The sequence below is a fragment of the Homo sapiens genome, chromosome 8, assembly GCF_000001405.40.
Source record: "Homo sapiens chromosome 8, GRCh38.p14 Primary Assembly".
Classification (NCBI taxonomy): Eukaryota; Metazoa; Chordata; class Mammalia; order Primates; family Hominidae; genus Homo; species Homo sapiens.
In genome coordinates, this window is record NC_000008.11 from 28,106,292 (window position 1) to 28,123,824 (window position 17,533).

At 38.6% G+C, this 17,533-nt stretch overlaps 1 protein-coding gene across 7 annotated transcripts in view, besides 1 other annotated feature; it reads left to right on the forward strand.

The window, feature by feature from the left end:
• Window positions 1-17,533, forward strand: part of ELP3 (elongator acetyltransferase complex subunit 3) — a 100,922-nt gene that overhangs the window by 16,060 nt on the left and 67,329 nt on the right. For 5 of the 7 annotated variants that reach the window (XM_024447184.2, NM_001284222.2, NM_018091.6 and 2 more), the window contains 4 exons: window positions 422-492; window positions 1,622-1,685; window positions 4,079-4,147; window positions 6,728-6,882. In XM_024447184.2, the coding sequence (XP_024302952.1) occupies window positions 422-492; window positions 1,622-1,685; window positions 4,079-4,147; window positions 6,728-6,882 (359 nt within the window). The remainder of the gene's footprint in view (window positions 1-421; window positions 493-1,621; window positions 1,686-4,078; window positions 4,148-6,727; window positions 6,883-17,533) is intronic. The other 2 variants (NM_001284224.2, NM_001284225.2) reach the window with 1 other exon arrangement.
• Window positions 13,887-14,087: a silencer, noted in NCBI's record as "peak6972 fragment used in MPRA reporter construct". NCBI's record gives its function as "represses an SCP1 promoter by STARR-seq MPRAs in K562 erythroleukemia cells {active_cell/tissue: K562}" and the evidence as "EXISTENCE:reporter gene assay evidence [ECO:0000049][PMID:32103011]".

The window sequence follows — 17,533 nt, forward strand, 5'->3', positions numbered from 1 at the left end:
GCACTTTGGGAGGCCGAGGCGGGCGGATCACGAGGTCAGGAGATCGAGACCATCCCGGCTAAAACGGTGAAACCCCGTCTCTACTAAAAATACAAAAAATTAGCCGGGCGTAGTGGCGGGCGCCTGTAGTCCCAGCTACCTGGGAGGCTGAGGCAGGAGAATGGCGTGAACCCGGGAGGCGGAGCTTGCAGTGAGCCGAGATCCCGCCACTGCACTCCAGCCTGGGCGACAGAGCGAGACTCCGTCTCAAAAAAAAAAAAAAAAAAAAAAAAAAAAGAAATACAGCCTCGTCAATACCTTTGAAGCCCCTTTTTGCCACTCTCTGGTTGCATTCCTCTCCTTCCTTCCGAGGGATAAGCACTCTGTGGAGTTTTATATTAATTATCCTATAATAGCTTTTTTATTCATCTTTCTTTTATAGATTGCTGTCGTGGCTGTGATGTGCAAACCCCACAGATGTCCACACATCAGTTTTACAGGAAATATATGTGTGTAAGTATGGTGATTTTATTAAATTGTATGTATGTTTTAATTAAGCTAAATATGCCCCCTCTAGCCCTTAGTCAGTACATCCTGGTAATGTTTAAAACTTCAGCTTAATAGATTTATAGATTACTCCTTTCAAACAAGCAACCATTGGTAGATATTTTAGTGCTTTAAAATTGGAATATATAAGGCCGGGCAAAGTGGCTTACGCCTATAATCCCAGCATTTTGGGAGGCTGAGGCAGGTGGATCACCTGAGGTCAGGAGTTAAGACGAGCCTGGCCAGCACTGTGAGACTCCGTCTCTACTAAAAATACAAAAATTAGCCGAGCGTGGTGGCATGCGCTTCTAGTCCCAGCTACTTAGGAGGCTGAGGCAGGAGAATCGTTTAAACCTGGGAGGTGGAGGTTGCAGTGAGCCGAGATCACGCCACTGCACTCCAGCCTGGGCAACAGAGTGAGACTCCATATCAAAATAAATAAATAAAATTAGAACATATGAATATTTTAATTTATTGCAATATACAATTCTAAAAATGTAGGTTATGGAACTCACAACAGTAGACATTGGGATATGCAACTCAAAACAGCACATTCTGTTAAACTCATAAATGAAACATGGGAATATGAGCTGCCTAAATTCCACGTCAGAAATTTAAAATGAATTTGGATCAGAAACATATCAAAATAAAAAATTATCCTTATACGTAACCTTTAGATTTCTCAAACTCACCTATTTGAAAGAATTAGCGGAAGAGTTTGCATGATTCTGGGTAGGAAGATAAAAGGGGGGAAAGATTTTCTTGAGTGTGGTTCCCAAGAGAACACTGAGTATTGATTCAAACTTAGGAAAACTTCATTTCTGTTATTTGCCCCTAAAAGCTTAAACCTCTGAAATAAACACAACTGCAGTTATTTTGAAAATGGGTGTAATAATGTCCCTTTACATATTTATCTTATTTACTTCTTGGTAGAAAATACATTATTTACAGATACTGCAAAGGTAGATTCTTCTGTTAGGATTTGAAAAGGAAGCTCATTTGTTATCAGGATTCTTTGGAGATGGTAGATGCTTGGAACTAGCTGATTGAACTCAGTTTTGCATCTGACATTCTTGTTCTTTTGTTGTACTGGCAGATACTGCCCTGGTGGACCTGATTCTGATTTTGAGTATTCCACCCAGTCTTACACTGGCTATGAGGTACAGTAACTTTGAGGCTGTCCTGATGAAATGTTGCATCATGCTTTACCTGTAGTATGGTTTTACCAGTACTGGCTTTCTGACAATTTTTTGTTTTTGTTTTTGTTTTTTTCTGATTTTAAAAGCTGTTCATTCACCAAATATTTGCCAGTGTCTACTAGTGCCCTATATTATTCTAGCCACTAGAGAAATACTTACATAAGCATAAATAATACTTACTTCTTATCCCAAATGCTGTTCTAAGTGCTTTACAACTGTAAACCTTATTGCAGTGTTTTGAAGATAGACACTATCATGATCCCAGTTTGCCAATCAGGAAACTAGGGCATAGCAGGCTTAAACAGCTGGCCCAAAGACACACTATTAGTAAGTGACAACCAGGTTTCGAAGTCTGTGCTGCTTACCACTACATTGTACTGTCACTTTAGCAGTGGAAAATGGACAGGGTCCCATTGTCTTCTGGAATTTACATTTTTTTTTCTTTTTTTTTTTTTTTTTTGAGATGGAGTCTCACTCTGTTACCCAGGCTAGAGTGCAGTGGCACGATCTCCTTCACTGCAACCTCCACCTCCTGGGTTCAAGTGATTCTCCTGCCTCAGCCTCCCGAGTAGCTGGGACTACAGGCAAGCACCACCACGCCCAGCTAATTTTTGTATTTTTAGTAGAGACAAGGTTTCATCATGTTGGCCAGCCTGGTCTCGAACTGCTGACCTTAAGTGATCCGCCTGCCTTGGCTTCCCAAAATGTTGGGATTACAGGCGTTAGCCACTGTACCCAGCCTGGAATTTATATTTTAATAATGGAAGGTAGACAGTAAAGAAACAAGAAAAAGTATCAGGCACTCAAAAAATGCTAAGCAGAGATGTAAAATCAAGTAAGGTGATGGCAGCTGAGATGGTTTAGCTGTGGTCGTTAGGAAGGGATTCTGTGAAGTGAGATTGAAGTTGAGTCTGAATGACAAGAAGGACCTAGTCCTAAGAATATGTGAAAGGGGCATTCCTAGCAGAGAAGTCACTAGAATGAGGCCCAAGGAAGGAAAGACATGGGGGTGTTGTGCAGTGCAGGGGGTGAGGGAAGCATGAGGCTGGGAGTGCAAATGAGCTGGGGTTTGTAAGCAAAGGTAAGGAGTTTCCATTTTAGCGTAGGAGTCATGAGAAGCTATTAGGATTTAAGGCAGGGGAATGATACAATCCAATTTAGGTTTTTTGAAAGATCATTTTGATGGCCATGTAGAGAAAGGGTTAGAGTGGAGACCAGAAAGAAGGCAGAAGGCCAGTGAGGTGCTTTTGAAGGAGTCACCCTCCTCAGAACACCTCAGAAGCCAGGAAAGCTTGTGACTTTTTTCTCATATCTGTTTTCATTTTTTTTCTTGTTTTCTAGGGTTCAAATTTTTTAAAATACAAGAGGAATGATTTCGTGAAAAGGCTTCCTCTCATTCCTATCCCCTAGCCACTCTTTTTCACTCTTCCCCCTACCAGTTAGTGTTGTTTGTTATTTCCTCCCCATCCTTCAGGGATATTTTAGGGAACACAGCATACACAGGTTGCCTATCCCTTATGTGAAATGCCTGGGACCAGAAGTGTTTCGGATTTTGGATTTTTCTGGATTTTGGAATATTTGCATATACATAGTGAGAAATCTTGAGAGTGGAACCCGAATCTGAACATGAGATTCATTTTGGGTTTATGTACACCTGATACACCTAGGCTGAATTAATTTTATACAATATTTTTAATAATTTTGTGCGTGAAACAAAGTTTGTGTTAAGTACTATGTGTGGAATTTTCCAGTTATGGCATCATGTTGGCACTCAAAAAATTATGAGGTTTGGAGCATTTTTGATTTTTGGATTAGGGATGCTCAACCTGGACGTATTCTTTATTTGACTGATTCCATATAAGGTAGCATATCAGAGTCCTCTTTCACTTTGCCTTTTATTTTACAATATCTTAGTGAACATTTTATGTCAGTACATTGTTTCGTGGCTGTAGAGTATTCCACTGTATGGTGGTAGCCATTACAAACTGTGTGGTATTTTAGAAGCTTACTTAAAAGTTACTTTATTATATGATTCTGGTATATGTATGCACATCTATGTCTGTGAGCAGAACACTTTGGTGACCCTGGGATTCCAGAAGTGTTTATACAAAAGACAGATGTGATCCAAGGAGACACCCTGCTGTTGAGGTGTTTATGACAGCGTGAGTGGACACCTGCCAGATGCGATTCAGGACATTATTTTGAACCCTGACAAGACTGAGAAAAATTAATGCGGGTACAAGCCACGTTTTCAGTGTTCGGAACCATGGAGAGTTTTTTTTAAAATACAGTCCTTTTGAAACTACTTTTTAGTTTTAATTCAATGTGGGCATAACAATATTTTTCTCTTCTAGCCAACCTCCATGAGAGCTATCCGTGCCAGATATGACCCTTTCCTACAGACAAGACACCGAATAGAACAGGTACATTTTTAAAAAACATGTTTCTTAAAAATTAGGTGTTTATACTTAGTAAGAAGCCATTGTTGCTTGATTCAAATTGAACCTGAAATAAGAATGAAAAAGGTGTTTTTCCTCTTTGTAAGTTTTCAATATCCATTTGAGGGAGGGAGAATTTGCCATGCCTAGCAAGGTCAAAAACACTACTTTCTTTAAAGACTGTATTTATTGTTTAAGGGTTTTATATTCTCTAAGTTTTTTTGAATTTGTAGAAAGTCATTTGTAGTATGAAATTTGTGGAATAAAGATGTATGAAAGTTCTTAGACAATGGGTGGGTGTGTTGACTTTTAATTTCCAAAAGTCAGATTAAGAAGTATTTTGACTGGCCATGCGCAATGGCTCATGCCTGTAATCCCAACCCTTTGGAAGGCTGTGACAGCAGGTCACTTGAGCCTAAGAGTTCGAGACCAGCCTGGGCAACATAGCAAAACCCCATCTACAAAAAATACAAAAATTAGCATGGCATTGTGGTGTGCACCTGAAGTCTTAGCTACTTGGAAGGCTGAGGTGGAAGGATCCCTTGAGCCTGGAAGGTCAAGGCTGCAGTGAGCTGTGATCATACCACTGCACTTCAGCCTGGGTGACACAGCAAGAACCTGTCTCAAAAAGAAGTATTGTGACAGATTTGTTGGGTGGAAATAGGAAATTTCCTACAAAGGAGTACAAAGAACTAGTCGGGGTATGGCATTGTTCTCTATCATGGTCATGGTGGTGGTTACATAACTCTAAATATCTATCAGCTCTCATCCATTGTACACTTAAAGTTAGTGGATTTTATCGTATTTAAATTATACCTCAGTATGGTTGACTAAAAACAAGTACTATGTACATGACCTTGCAGTGTTCAAGAAATCTGAACATTAATACAGATTTCCTTTATTTACAAGTTTATTTTAAACTTGTCCAATTTAAAAAATGTAAAGCACTGTCCATAGTTGTAATAGTAATGTATAGTAGGCACATCCAAGTCTAAAGTAGATAATGGTACATAACCATAGTGGATAAGTTGTCTCTGGGTTTGTTTATTGGCTTATTGGTGAATACTGTTCAGTTTTAATATCCACTTTGCTGTCACCCAAGCGTATGAGGAACAGGATTGTCGGTGACAGGAGAGGACTCCATCTGGGGGAGCCCACATTTTTCCAAACAGTGGGTTCTAAACTGACCTTTGCTTCAATTTCTTTTTGGGCTATGATAGTTAATTTATTTAAAATGTAAAACTATTGAGCATGAAATGCTTATGTTTACCAAAAAAAGGAGCATAGTTTACAAGATTTAGAAATGAACATAGAGCAGTGATTCTTTTCTTAAATGCACTAGAATTACCTGAGTAACTTCTCCAAAACGTGTCACATCTTCACCTCGGGAGGTTCTGATTAAGTCTGCTTTAAGGTCCTAGCAAGATATTTTTAAAAACTACCAGGGTAATTTTGATGAGTATCTCTTGTAAAGAACCATAGATACAGAAATAGAGTATTCTTTTAGTGTTGATATATATGTACACACATGCATATATATAGTTTTTCTGTATACGTTTTTTGCCATTTTCAGAAATTAGTGTTAATTTCAATACCTATTTTTAAAAATTAGAATCTTGGCTTATTGTAGTCAACAAAATGAAAGATTTGTATCATTCTCTCCACTAGTAGAGGAGACCTAATTTTATTATTATTATTTTTTTTTTTTTAAACAGAGTGTCACTCTTGTTGCCCAGGCTGGAGTGCAGTGGCACAATCTTGGGTCACTGCAACCTCCGCCTCCTGGTTCAAGCGATTCTCTTGCCTCAGCCTCCAGAGTAGCTGGGATTACGGCATGTCTGGCTAATTTTTATATTTTTAGTAGAGACGGGGTTTCACCATGTTGGCCAGGCTGGTCTCGAACTCCTGACCTCAGGTGATCTGCCAGCCTGGTCCTCCTAAGTGCTGGGATTACAGGCATCAGCCACCGCACCTGGCCTGAATATTTCATTTTTAATCAGACTTTCACTTTTTTTTAGAAAGCAGACTTGAAGTGCCTCCTGTGCCTGGAATCATCCATCAATTTTAGACTGCTGTCTTGATTTTTCTTTCCAATCTATTCTTTTTTTCTTCCATTACATCAAATCCTTATTATGTTACATAATCATTCATGTATCATTGTTGACCATAAATGCCACCTTTTTGTCCTCTAGGCTTACCACCAAGTCTGACATAAAATACATGATCAATAAATACTTACTGTTTTGCAAATTGTATTATATTTGTCTTTACTGCTTTCTAGTTTATATTCTTCGTGTTTTTAAATTTCCGCTTTGTAGGTATTCAAGTCAAGCCTCTTATTTGTTATTTTATATTCTCATTCTCCCTCCTTATTTGAGTTGTACTCACTTTTTTCTTTCAGACTTGGGCCTATTTTTTATCCACAGAATTAGCTAAGTGTGTTTCATTACTTCTGATTTTTAAACTGTACTGATGAAAACACTGCAAAATAAGAGATTTGCAATGCCTTCTTAGAGTAGTTCCTTATGCTTATATCATTCTAATGCTGATGAATTTGTCTTTCAGTTAAAACAACTTGGTCATAGTGTGGATAAAGTGGAGTTTATTGTGATGGGTGGAACGTTTATGGCCCTTCCAGAAGAATACAGAGATTATTTTATTCGAAATTTACATGATGCCTTATCAGGACATACTTCCAACAATATTTACGAGGCAGTCAAGTAAGAAATTCTTATTTTATCATAGTCTCCAGAGTGGTTGTCAGTTTATGCTCCTAGCAGTAGTCTACGAGAATGCCTTCTGCCCTGCATCCACATTCTTACTTCTCATAATCTTTCTTGTTTCATGGGAAAGGATTATTTCAGTGAAAATAATGCTTTCGCTGAAATAATCTTTTCCAGTGAAAATAATCCTTTCACTGAAATAATCCTTTTAAAGAAAAAATGAATACAGTTTGTTGACATAGTAGTATTCTCAAATAGAGAGATTCGCCAAATATGGTCCATGAATGTCTTTTCAGCCCACCCAAGAAGGGGGCTGGGAGTATTTTAGCTGCTGTAAAATCAGCAAAACAAGGTACTGTTATTTAAAAACCTAATTTATAGTAAATATTTCATAATTATTAAATAGTAACTGTTTATGATTGGGATCTTAGTCTGTGTTGTGCTGCTGTAACAAAATATCTGAGACTAGGTAATTTATAATGCACAGAAATGTATTGGCTCACAGCTTTGGAGGTTGGGAAGTCCAATGTCAAGGTGCTGGCATCTGGCAAGAGCCTTCTTACTACGTCATCACACGGCAAAAGACAAGAGAAACAAAAAGCGGACCAATTCACCCTTTTATAATGGCATTAATCTTACCCACAAGGTCAGATCGCCTCTCAGAGGTCCCACCTGTTAATACTGTTACAATGACAATTTCAACATGAGTTTTAGAGGGGACAAACTCATGTCTGTCAAATCATGTGTTATTCAAACCACAAGTTAATTTAGTCATTTTGAATTCTAGTTGACAAAATTATGCATCATTTTGACACCTTGTTTTTAGCAAGAAGAATACTACAGGTTAGTATGTAGTTCAGTGATTTAAGAAGTGAAAGTCTTAAAATAGTTTTTGTTCTCAGGAGTTGCAGGAACACCTGGATAGTTACTATTTTCCTTATTTAACAAATCCTTCTTGAGGGCCCACTAGATACTATGTGCTGTTTTAGATACTGGAAAGTGGTGATATTTAGGCTGAGACCGGAAGTACAAGGAGGAGTTAGGCCAACAGCAAGAAAGATAAAATAAAGGCTCTGAAATGGGAAGCAGCCTGGGGTGTTCTAGGGACAGAGAGGAAGCCAGCATGGTTAGATCCTGTGTTAATCCATTTGTGTCCCTATAAAGGAACACCTAAGACTAGGTAAGTTATAAAGAAAAGAGGTTTAATTGGTTCCAGTTCTACAGGCTTCACATGAAGCATAGTGCTGGCATTTGCTTCTGGTGAGGCCTCAGGAAGCTTCCAATCATGGTGGAAGGTGAAGGGGAGCCAGTACATCACATGACGGGTGCAGGGAGGTGCCACACTCTTTTAAACAACAAATCTCACGTGAAACAACTGAGCGAGAACTCACTTATCACCAAGGAGATGGTGGTAAGCCATTTATTTATGAGGAATCCAGCCCCAGGACCCAAACACCTCCCACCAGGCCACACCTCCAATATTGGGGATCACATTTCAACATAAGATGTGGAGGGGACAAACACCCAAACCATGTCAGATCCCAGTGAACAAGAGAAAGAACGTCATGAGACGGGGTTGAAGTGTTAGGTAAGGGCCAAGATACATGCTTTTAAGGAGTTGAAATTTTATTTGAAATGCAGTAGGGAGCAGATGAAGGGGAAGTGGCAAGTTCTGGTTAACAGGTAGGGTCATTCCGGCTACTGTCTGGCTAATGGATTAGAGGAGTACCAGGGTGAAAGTGGGAAACCAGATAGGAGGCCATCTGATTACATCCATCCCTGCTCAGATGGGGGCGGCAGCAGTGGTGATGGAGAGGAGATTGAGATGGGGGTAAGAGAAAAGAAGGGATCAAGCCTGACACTAAGGTTTTGGCTGTCAGAAATGGTAGGAAGGTAGGGTAGGGCTGTATACTGAGGTGGGAAAGATAGCGGGAAGAGCAGAGAAAATCTCAGAGGGAGAAAATCAAGAGTTCTGTTTTGGATGTGTGAAGTCTGAAGAGCCTGTGATACATTCAAGTGGAGATGTCGGTGGGCTCTGAATGCAAGAGAAGTCTGAGCTGACGGTACGAAACTGGGGATTATCAGCTCATAGGTAACATTGACAACCATGTAAGTGGAGGAGACCACCTCATGGGAGAGTTGTGGATCTCCAAGGTATACTAAGTGAAAAGCAATTTTTAGAGCAATTCTTATAGTACGATCCCATTATTTGTGTGTTCATGCACATACACACACACATATCTGTATATAAATGCATAGAAAAGGTGGCAGAATAATGGTCATCATAGACCTTAGAGCTGAGGAGGAAAGGACATGGGAAATGGCAGCAAAGGAGGATATTTACATTTGCTCTGTATACAGTGGGCCAGGTGTTGTCATGGGTGTTTAATATTCACTTATTTAGTACTCATAGTTAGCCTTTGAGTTAAGTGTTCAGATTATCTCTGTTTTATGGGTGAGGAAGCTGAGGCACAGAGAGATAAGCAATTTGCCCAAAGTTGCAGAGGTGGTTGGTGGTAGAATGGGATATAAATCCCAGGTAGCTTTGCTTTCAGAGCCTAACTTTGCAAGCTGTGCTAGGTGTCAGAATGTGAGTGTGTCTGTATGTATGTGCACATGTGTGTGCACATCATCAGAGCTTGAAGATCTTGGAAGGAATATGGCCTGTTTTTCCTTGCCCTCCTTCCCTACCACCCTCAGGCTTTTCTCTGGCTTCTCTTTTATATGGGGTGAGGGTTTCATATAGCTAATTATAAGGTTGTTCAAATAGTGCCACCTCTTAAGATTTTTTGTGTAGGACAAAATTTTGGATAGACCTAAGAGTGGTTTTTATTACCCTGTAAGTAAAGCAGTTCTTGGCACATAGTAAGCACAAGTAAATGCGTGAATGAATTTTGAATGAACAGTTAGCTAATGACCTGGGTAGGGTTGCCTCTTGGAATTGGGGGCAGCCACATCTTTTTGTGCCCTCGCTACTCCCCCTACCCCCTTAACTTCCTTTGTTCTCCTTGGGTTTGTAAAAGTGAAAAGAAGAGAGGAGCTTTTTCATAAAATTTAATACCAAGGGTAGCTCAAAGAGCCCATCTGAAAGGTTTGGCAGCTGGGAGAGTTTGTGTGGACAGCAGCCCACTTCTGTTTGATTGACTCTAGGGAATGCAACAGGTGAATTCTGTGTCCGTGAATCTGGACCTGTAGCATTGTGATTTCTTCGTCTTACAGGGGCTTTAGTAATAGAGGAGATGGCGACTGCATTGTTACTGCTCGTTCAAAACTGATCAAGAGGCCGGGCGTAGTGGCTCACGCCTGTAATCCCAGCCCTTTGGGAGGCCAAGGCGGGCAGATAGCTTGAGGCCAGGAGTTTGAGACCAGCCTGACCAACATGGTGAAACTTCTTCTCTACTAAAAATGTAAAAATTAGCTGGGCATGGAGGCTGGTGCCTCTAGTCCCAGCTACTTGGGAGGCCGAGGCACAGAAACACTTGAACCCAGGAGGCAGAGGTTGCAGTGAGCCAAGATTGCACTACTGCACTCCAGCCTGGGCGACAGAGTGAGACTGTGTCTCAAAAAACAAACAACAACAAAAAAAACTGATCATTAATATGAGTCATACTTAGTAAATGCTGAAGTCTTCAAACTTTAGAGGAGTAATGATATCATCCAGCTAATTACTCTTAATAATACTGAAAAATCAAACTATACCTTAGATAAAATGTGATTGAGGAAAAACAACCTTTATTAGTTCAAAGCCAGGCGACGGGGATGGCAGCAGAAGGTTCTCTCAGAGGGTTGCTGACCACAGTTCATTCAGCTCTGAAAATTCCCTGGCAGGGACATCTATGAAGATAAGTTTTTCTCTGCAAGCTTATATACTTCTGTACTCATTTCTTGGACCTTAATATGTAAGGTCTTCTTATCTTGAAGACCTTACATATTAAGTGGAATTGAGCTGTAAATATCTTAGACTTGCCTCTCTCCCCCATAAAAATTTGCCACTAAGCTTTTCATCTCCTACAGTTTGGGTCCCCTGAGGTATATGAAGCAGGCCAACTAAGATCTGCATAGTGAACTTTTAGTATGTATCTAGTTTGACATTTTCATCAATTGAAAGTAAAAATTTTGTTTTATTCTTGGTGTAACATTTTATTTTTGCAGAAATGTTCTAGTGCTAATGGTGCTTGAATGTAAGTTTTCCATCATTGGGTTGAAAATAGGGTTGTCTAGTCCAGCGAGCTCAGTGCAGATCATGATGTGTTTGTAGAAAAAGCCCTGTGGAAGAGAAATCCTCTTTCAGTAATATTCTAGGCAGTGCCAGTGTTGTTTTGTTTCTGTTCTTGAATTTACCTCAAGAGGGCAACGAACACTTTATTTTCAGATAAAAATTTATATATGATTTGGGTCTTCATTGCAACACATCTCATGAATGCCTCTTGAGAAGTAATGAAAGTACAATCTGGGAGCCATAAAACCATCCATAAATTACACTGAATTCTGCCAACACACACTTTAAATGTTTTGCTCTTTTCTCTCAGTCTCTATATTTTTATGAGATCATCTGGAAAAAAAAAAGACCTGATTTGTGGCGTGTTGTTGCTTTGTTAAGGTAAAGTTTTACTACAAACCCCTCATAATAGAGTTTGTATTTGTTTTGAGGGAAACTTTGTATTTGAGGAAATAATAGTCTAGTTTGTGCTATAGAACTAGAGACAGAAAGTATTTTCAAGTGTTGGCATAATTGTGAAATAAAAAGCAGCCCAGAGAAGTTGTGGTTTTGACATAATGTGGCCCTCGGAAATGTTTGGATTTGACCTTGCCCTTCTCTCTCATCCTGCCCAGAGTCTATGAGTGAAAACTGGTTGGTTTGCACAGCGTAGCCCACTGCTCTTAGATGTAAGGTGATGAACTTCATGTTTATTTTACTTTTGTTTTTGCTTGCTGACTACATAGATGTAAACTGACTTTCATTAGCTTAGCAGGGTTTTTTAAAGATTAATTTTAAATTAGGTTAAAAATGATGTATTGTGACCTATGAGTCAGCAAGCAGCATTTAAGGTTAATAGTCTGTTCACGTTAGGGTCAAGTTTTACTGCTGTGTTGGCTCAGGTGTCCCTGCTATGTTTTCATATGTTGAACCTGATTAAAGTTTTGCTTCTTAAAAGAATAGGAGTTAAGGTAAAGAAAAGCCCCAGCAAGCAGAGCCTGGTTATTATTTATGGCAAGCTAGTAGCAAGCAGTGTGTTATATATATTCTCGTGGATGGATAAATTGGAAAGTTGAGTGAACAGAGAGTTCAAGGACAAAACAGGTATGGCTTTTGTGAAGGCTCATTAAATCAAGCAAAGTGCTAATCACTCAGTACTATCAGCTGGACTGAGATTCTTCAGTAGTCTCCAGAGAGCAACAATTACTGGTGACTGTCATCGTGTAACAATCAGGCTCTGGAGATGAAAAAGACCGGTAGTGGGATCTGAGTCACCCATTCACTAGAATGCAAATGTTGCCAAATAACTCCAACAACCTTTTAAAATAGTTTTATTCCTTTTTAATCAGCTTTGCCCAGAAGCAGTTTTACATTCAATCTTTAATGCTCCTTGGCTGTTTTCACAAGATGCAATTTAAAGGGTAGTTACCCATTAAAAAGTGAGTGAGTCATACTTTCTCCCTGTGGAATTTTAAATTCATTTCCCGTTCCTTCCTCTTCCCCCGCCCCGCCCCCCACGCCCCATTAATGACTTTAGATCCTCCAACTATGTTCTTACCTGTCTGAGAAAAGCTGAAGTGCTAGGTAATGCTAGGTACCAGGCCCAGAAGACAATTTCGTAGACTTGCACAGCTGCAACGGAAGCAAAAGGAACCTACAGAGACCTGAGAGTGAGTGACTGTGGCCCTGCTGCCCTGGGCGTCATTTCTGGCAGGCCTCAGGACCTTCTGCATTTCTGGGCTTTGACGCTGACACTGCTTATCTCTCACTTTTTCTATTGACCATTTTACTTTCTCTTTTGGTCACCCAGATTTCCATACATGGTGACCAGGATCCTTAACATTGGCCAGAGAACATAGGATACAATCTTAGTCACTTTAAGAGAGTTGATATGGTTTTTCTTTCAGCATTTTATTTGAAACAAAAATTAAACAGTTTTTAGTGAGCATCCACATACCCATCACCTAGATTCTACGATACTTGCTTTATCACATATCTGTCAGTTCCACTATCCATTCATCAGTGTCTCTCGCGTGTGCTTGCGCTGTCTTTTTTGATGAATTTCATAGTAAGTTGTATGCTTCAGTACACTTCTCCCGGGATACTTCATCATGCATATCACTGACTAGTGTTCACTGTCTGCAGTGTTTTTCTTTTGAAGTAAATTTACATACAGTACAAAACAACTTGTGGCGTTTTATATATATATATATATATATATATATATATATATATATATATATATATATATATATGAACACATATATTAAGTATACCATTTGATTATTTTTGACAAATGCATATACCTGTGCTACAAAGTCCTATTAAGATACAGAATGTCACCGTCATCCCAGAAAGTTCCCACATCCCACTTGCCAGTAAATCCTCCCCTGCGCCTCCCAGAGGCAGCCGTTCTTCTGATTTTTTTCCCCATCACAAATTAGTTTTGTCTCTTCTAGAACTTCATATAAATGGAACCATATAGCATACACTTGTAGGCCTCTCTCACTGAGCATAGTATTTTGAGATTTATCCATGTGTTGGGTGATTCATTAGTTGTTACCTATTTAGTGCTGAGTAGTATTCCATTGTATGCAGAGATCACAGTTTGTTTACCATCCTTCTATTGATAGACGCCTGAGCTGTTTTGTTTGTGGCCATTATGAATAAAACTTCAGCGTACGTTCTTGTGTAAGTCTTTTTGTGGCTATATGTATTTATTTCTCTTGGGGGAATAAATAGACATAGAATTGCTATGTAAGTTTAGTTTTACAAGAAACCGCCAGTCATTTTCCCAAAATGGCTCTACTATTTGTACTCCCACCAATAATGTATGAACATTTGGTTGTACCACATCTTCACCAACATATGGTGTAGTCACTCTTTTTAATTTTAGCCATTCTAGTGGGCGTATAATGGTATCTCGTGGTTTTAGTTTGCTTTTGCCTGATGACTAATGATGTTGAACACTTTTTTAGTATGTGCTTATGCTATTTGAGTATATTTCCTTTGTGAAGTATCTATTAAAATCTTTTGCCCATTTTTGATTAGGTGGTTGTATATCCTAGCTGCCAGTCCTTTGTCAGCTCTATATTTTGCAAACATGAAAACCCAGTCTGTAGTTTGGCTGTTTGTTATGTTAATGATATCGTTTAGCCAAAGTTTTTAATTTTGATAAAGTAGAATTTAGCAGTTGTTTTCTTTCATGGTTATTGCTTTTCTGTATTGTCTCTAATAAACCATTGCACGTTCCCAAGGCACAAAGATATTCTCCTGTGTTTTCTTCTAATTACAGGTTTGAGCTTTCACTTACAGGTTTATGTTCCATCTTGAATTAATTCTTATGTGTAATATGAGGTGGGGATCAAGGTTCCTTTTTCCCCATATAGACAGCTAGTTGCTTTAACATCACTTCTTTAAAGATTTTCCTTCCCTATTCGGATTATATCACACCTTTGTTAAAAATCGAAGGACTCAGTAAATGTGGGCTGGGCTCTTTTCTGTTTCATCGATCTGTTTTTCAATCCTTATGCCAGTGCTACACTGTTTTGATTACTGTGGCTTTTTAGTGTATCTTGAAGTCAAGTAATATGAGTCTTCTAACTTTGTAATTGTTTTTCAAAATTGCTTTAGAAATTCTAGGTCCTTTGCATTTCTATGTAAAATTTAGAATCAGCTGGCCAATGCTCTATTAAAAAGTATAATGGATTTAGAATTGTGTTAAAACTATAGAACAAATGGAAAGAATTGACAATTTATTGCTTCTTGCAATTCATGAACATAGTCTATCTCCTTGTATACTTAGGTTTTTAAATTCTCTTAGCAATCTTCATTGTTGAGATTGTATAAGCCTTTTGTAAACAAATTCTTTCAAAATATTTGTATGTGTTTTGGTGCTACAGTAAATGAAATGTAAATTTCATTTTTAAATTTTATTATTATTATTATTATTTTTTTTTTTTTGAATCGGAGTCTTGCTCTGTCGCCCAGGCTGGAATGCAGTGACGTGATCTCAGCTCACTGCAACCTGTACCTTCTGGGCTCAAGACATTCTCCTGCCTCAGCCTCCCGAGTAGCTGGGATTACAGGCATCCACCACCATGCCTGGCTAATTTTTGTATTTTTAGTAGAGATGGGGTTTCACCATGTTGGCCAGGCTGGTCTCAAACTCCCGGCCTCAGGTGATCCGCCCACTTCGGCCTCCCAAAGTGCTGGGATTACAGGTGTGAGCCACCACGCCCGGCCATAAATTTCATTTTTTCAAATTTTTGCTGCTAATATATATACATACGGTTGATTTTTATATATTAATGTTATGTCATAAGACCTTACTAAATTCACTACTTAATTCTAAAAGCTATTTTTGTAAATCCTTTAATATTTACTTCCTAAACAATCATGTCATCTGCAAGTACAGTGCATTTTACTTTTCCCTTTTGGATTTGTATGCTTTTCTTTCTCTTGCCTTACTGCACTGCCTAGGACCTTTTCTTACAGTGTTAAACAGAAGTGGTAAGAGTGGGCGTCTCTGTCTTGTTCCCAGTGATACAGGGAAAACATTTTTATTTCAGTATTAAGTCCAGTGTTGCCTGTGGGTTTTTTATAGTTACATGTATTAGATTGAATAAGTTTATTGAAAGGGTTTATCATTAACTCATTTGTCTGATGCTTTCTCTGCATCTATTTAAATGGTCATATGATTTTCCTCCTTTATTTGGTAATATGGATCATTTTGATTTTTTTTTAACATTAAACCTCACATGCCTAGGATAAACCCTATTATATCATCATCTTTACATATTGTTGGATTCAACTTGCTAATACTTTGTAGAGGATTTTTGTGTCTGTGTTCATACAGGGTGGTGGTCTGTAATTTTCTTTTTTATAATTTTGTTGTCAGGTATTCGTTGTTGGTATTAGTGTAACGCAGGCTTCACAAAACAAGTAAGGATGTGTTGTTCCCTCCCCTGTTTTCTGAAAGTGTTCATGTAACATGAATATGATTTCTTCCATAAACGTTTGCTAGAACTCACCAGTGAAACTATCTAGGGCTGGAATTTTCTTTATGGGAGGGTTTTAGATCATAATTCAGTTCATTTAATAGATATAGAGCTATTCATATTTTCTGTTTCATCTGTGTCCATTTTAAAAAGTTACGTTTTTCAAGGAATTTGTCTGTTTCATTCATTTTGTCAAACATTTTGGTATTATGTTGCCTTATTAGGCTTTTAACATCTGTGGAATCTTAGTGATCACCCCTGTTTCAACCCTGATACTCATCATCTGTGTTTTCTCTTTTTTTCTTGTTTACCCGAGTTAGGGGTTTATCAATTTTGTTGTTCTTTTCAAAGAAGTAGCTTTTGGTTTTATTTCCTCTACTCTGTAGACTTCTGCTTTTATTTTTATTCTACTTTCTTTCCGTTTAATTGCTCTTCTTTTTCTAGTGATTTAATAAGGTATAAAAGCTTGGCCAGGCGCAATGGCTCACGCCTGTAATCCCAGCACTTTGGGAGGTGAGGTGGGCGGATCACCTGAGGTCAGGAGTTCGAGACCAGCCTGGCCAACATGGCAAAACCCCGTCTCTACTAAAAATACAAAAGTTAGCCATGTGTGGTGGCACGCACCTGTAATCCCAGCTACTGGGGAAGCTGAGGCAGGAGAATCGCTTGAACCTGGGAGGCAGAGGTTGCAGTGAGCCAAGATCACGCCACTGCCCTCCAGGCTGGATAACAGAGTGAGACTCCTTCTCAAAAAAAGAGAAAAAAAGCTTGGCCATCATTTTAGACATTTTCCTCAAAGCACTGCTTTAGCTGAATCCCACACATTTTGATATGGTGTATTTTAATTATTATTCAATTCAAAATATTTTTTCATACCCTTTATATATATGTATTTGATCCATGGAATGTATAGGAATGGGGTGTTTAATTTCCAAATTTCCAGACAATGAGGTTTTTCTTGATATCTTATTAATTTCTAATTTATTTTCATTTTGGCCAGAGAACCTACTCTGTATAATTTTGGTGTTTTAAAATTTATTGAGACTTGTTTTGTGGCCCAGCATATGTGGTCTCTCTTGGTGAACATGCCATGTGTGTTTGTAAAGAATGTGTGTTCTCAGTTGCTGGGTGTCATGTTCTATAAATATCAGTTAAACCAAGATGGTTGGTAGTAGTGTTCAGGTAAATTTTGTTTTTTATTCTTTTGTAGTTCTATCAATTGCTAAGAGATTGAAATCTCCAAGTATGATTGAGGAACTCTGTACATCTCTCTTCATTTATATTGATTTTTACTGAATGTATTTTGTAAATCTGTTATTAGGTACATACACATCTATGATTGCTGTGTTTTCCTGATGTATGAGCTTTTCACCATTGTGAAATTACCTCTTTATCATCATGAGATGTCCTTCCGCATCCCTGGTCTTGCAGTTTACTTGGTGTTAATTTA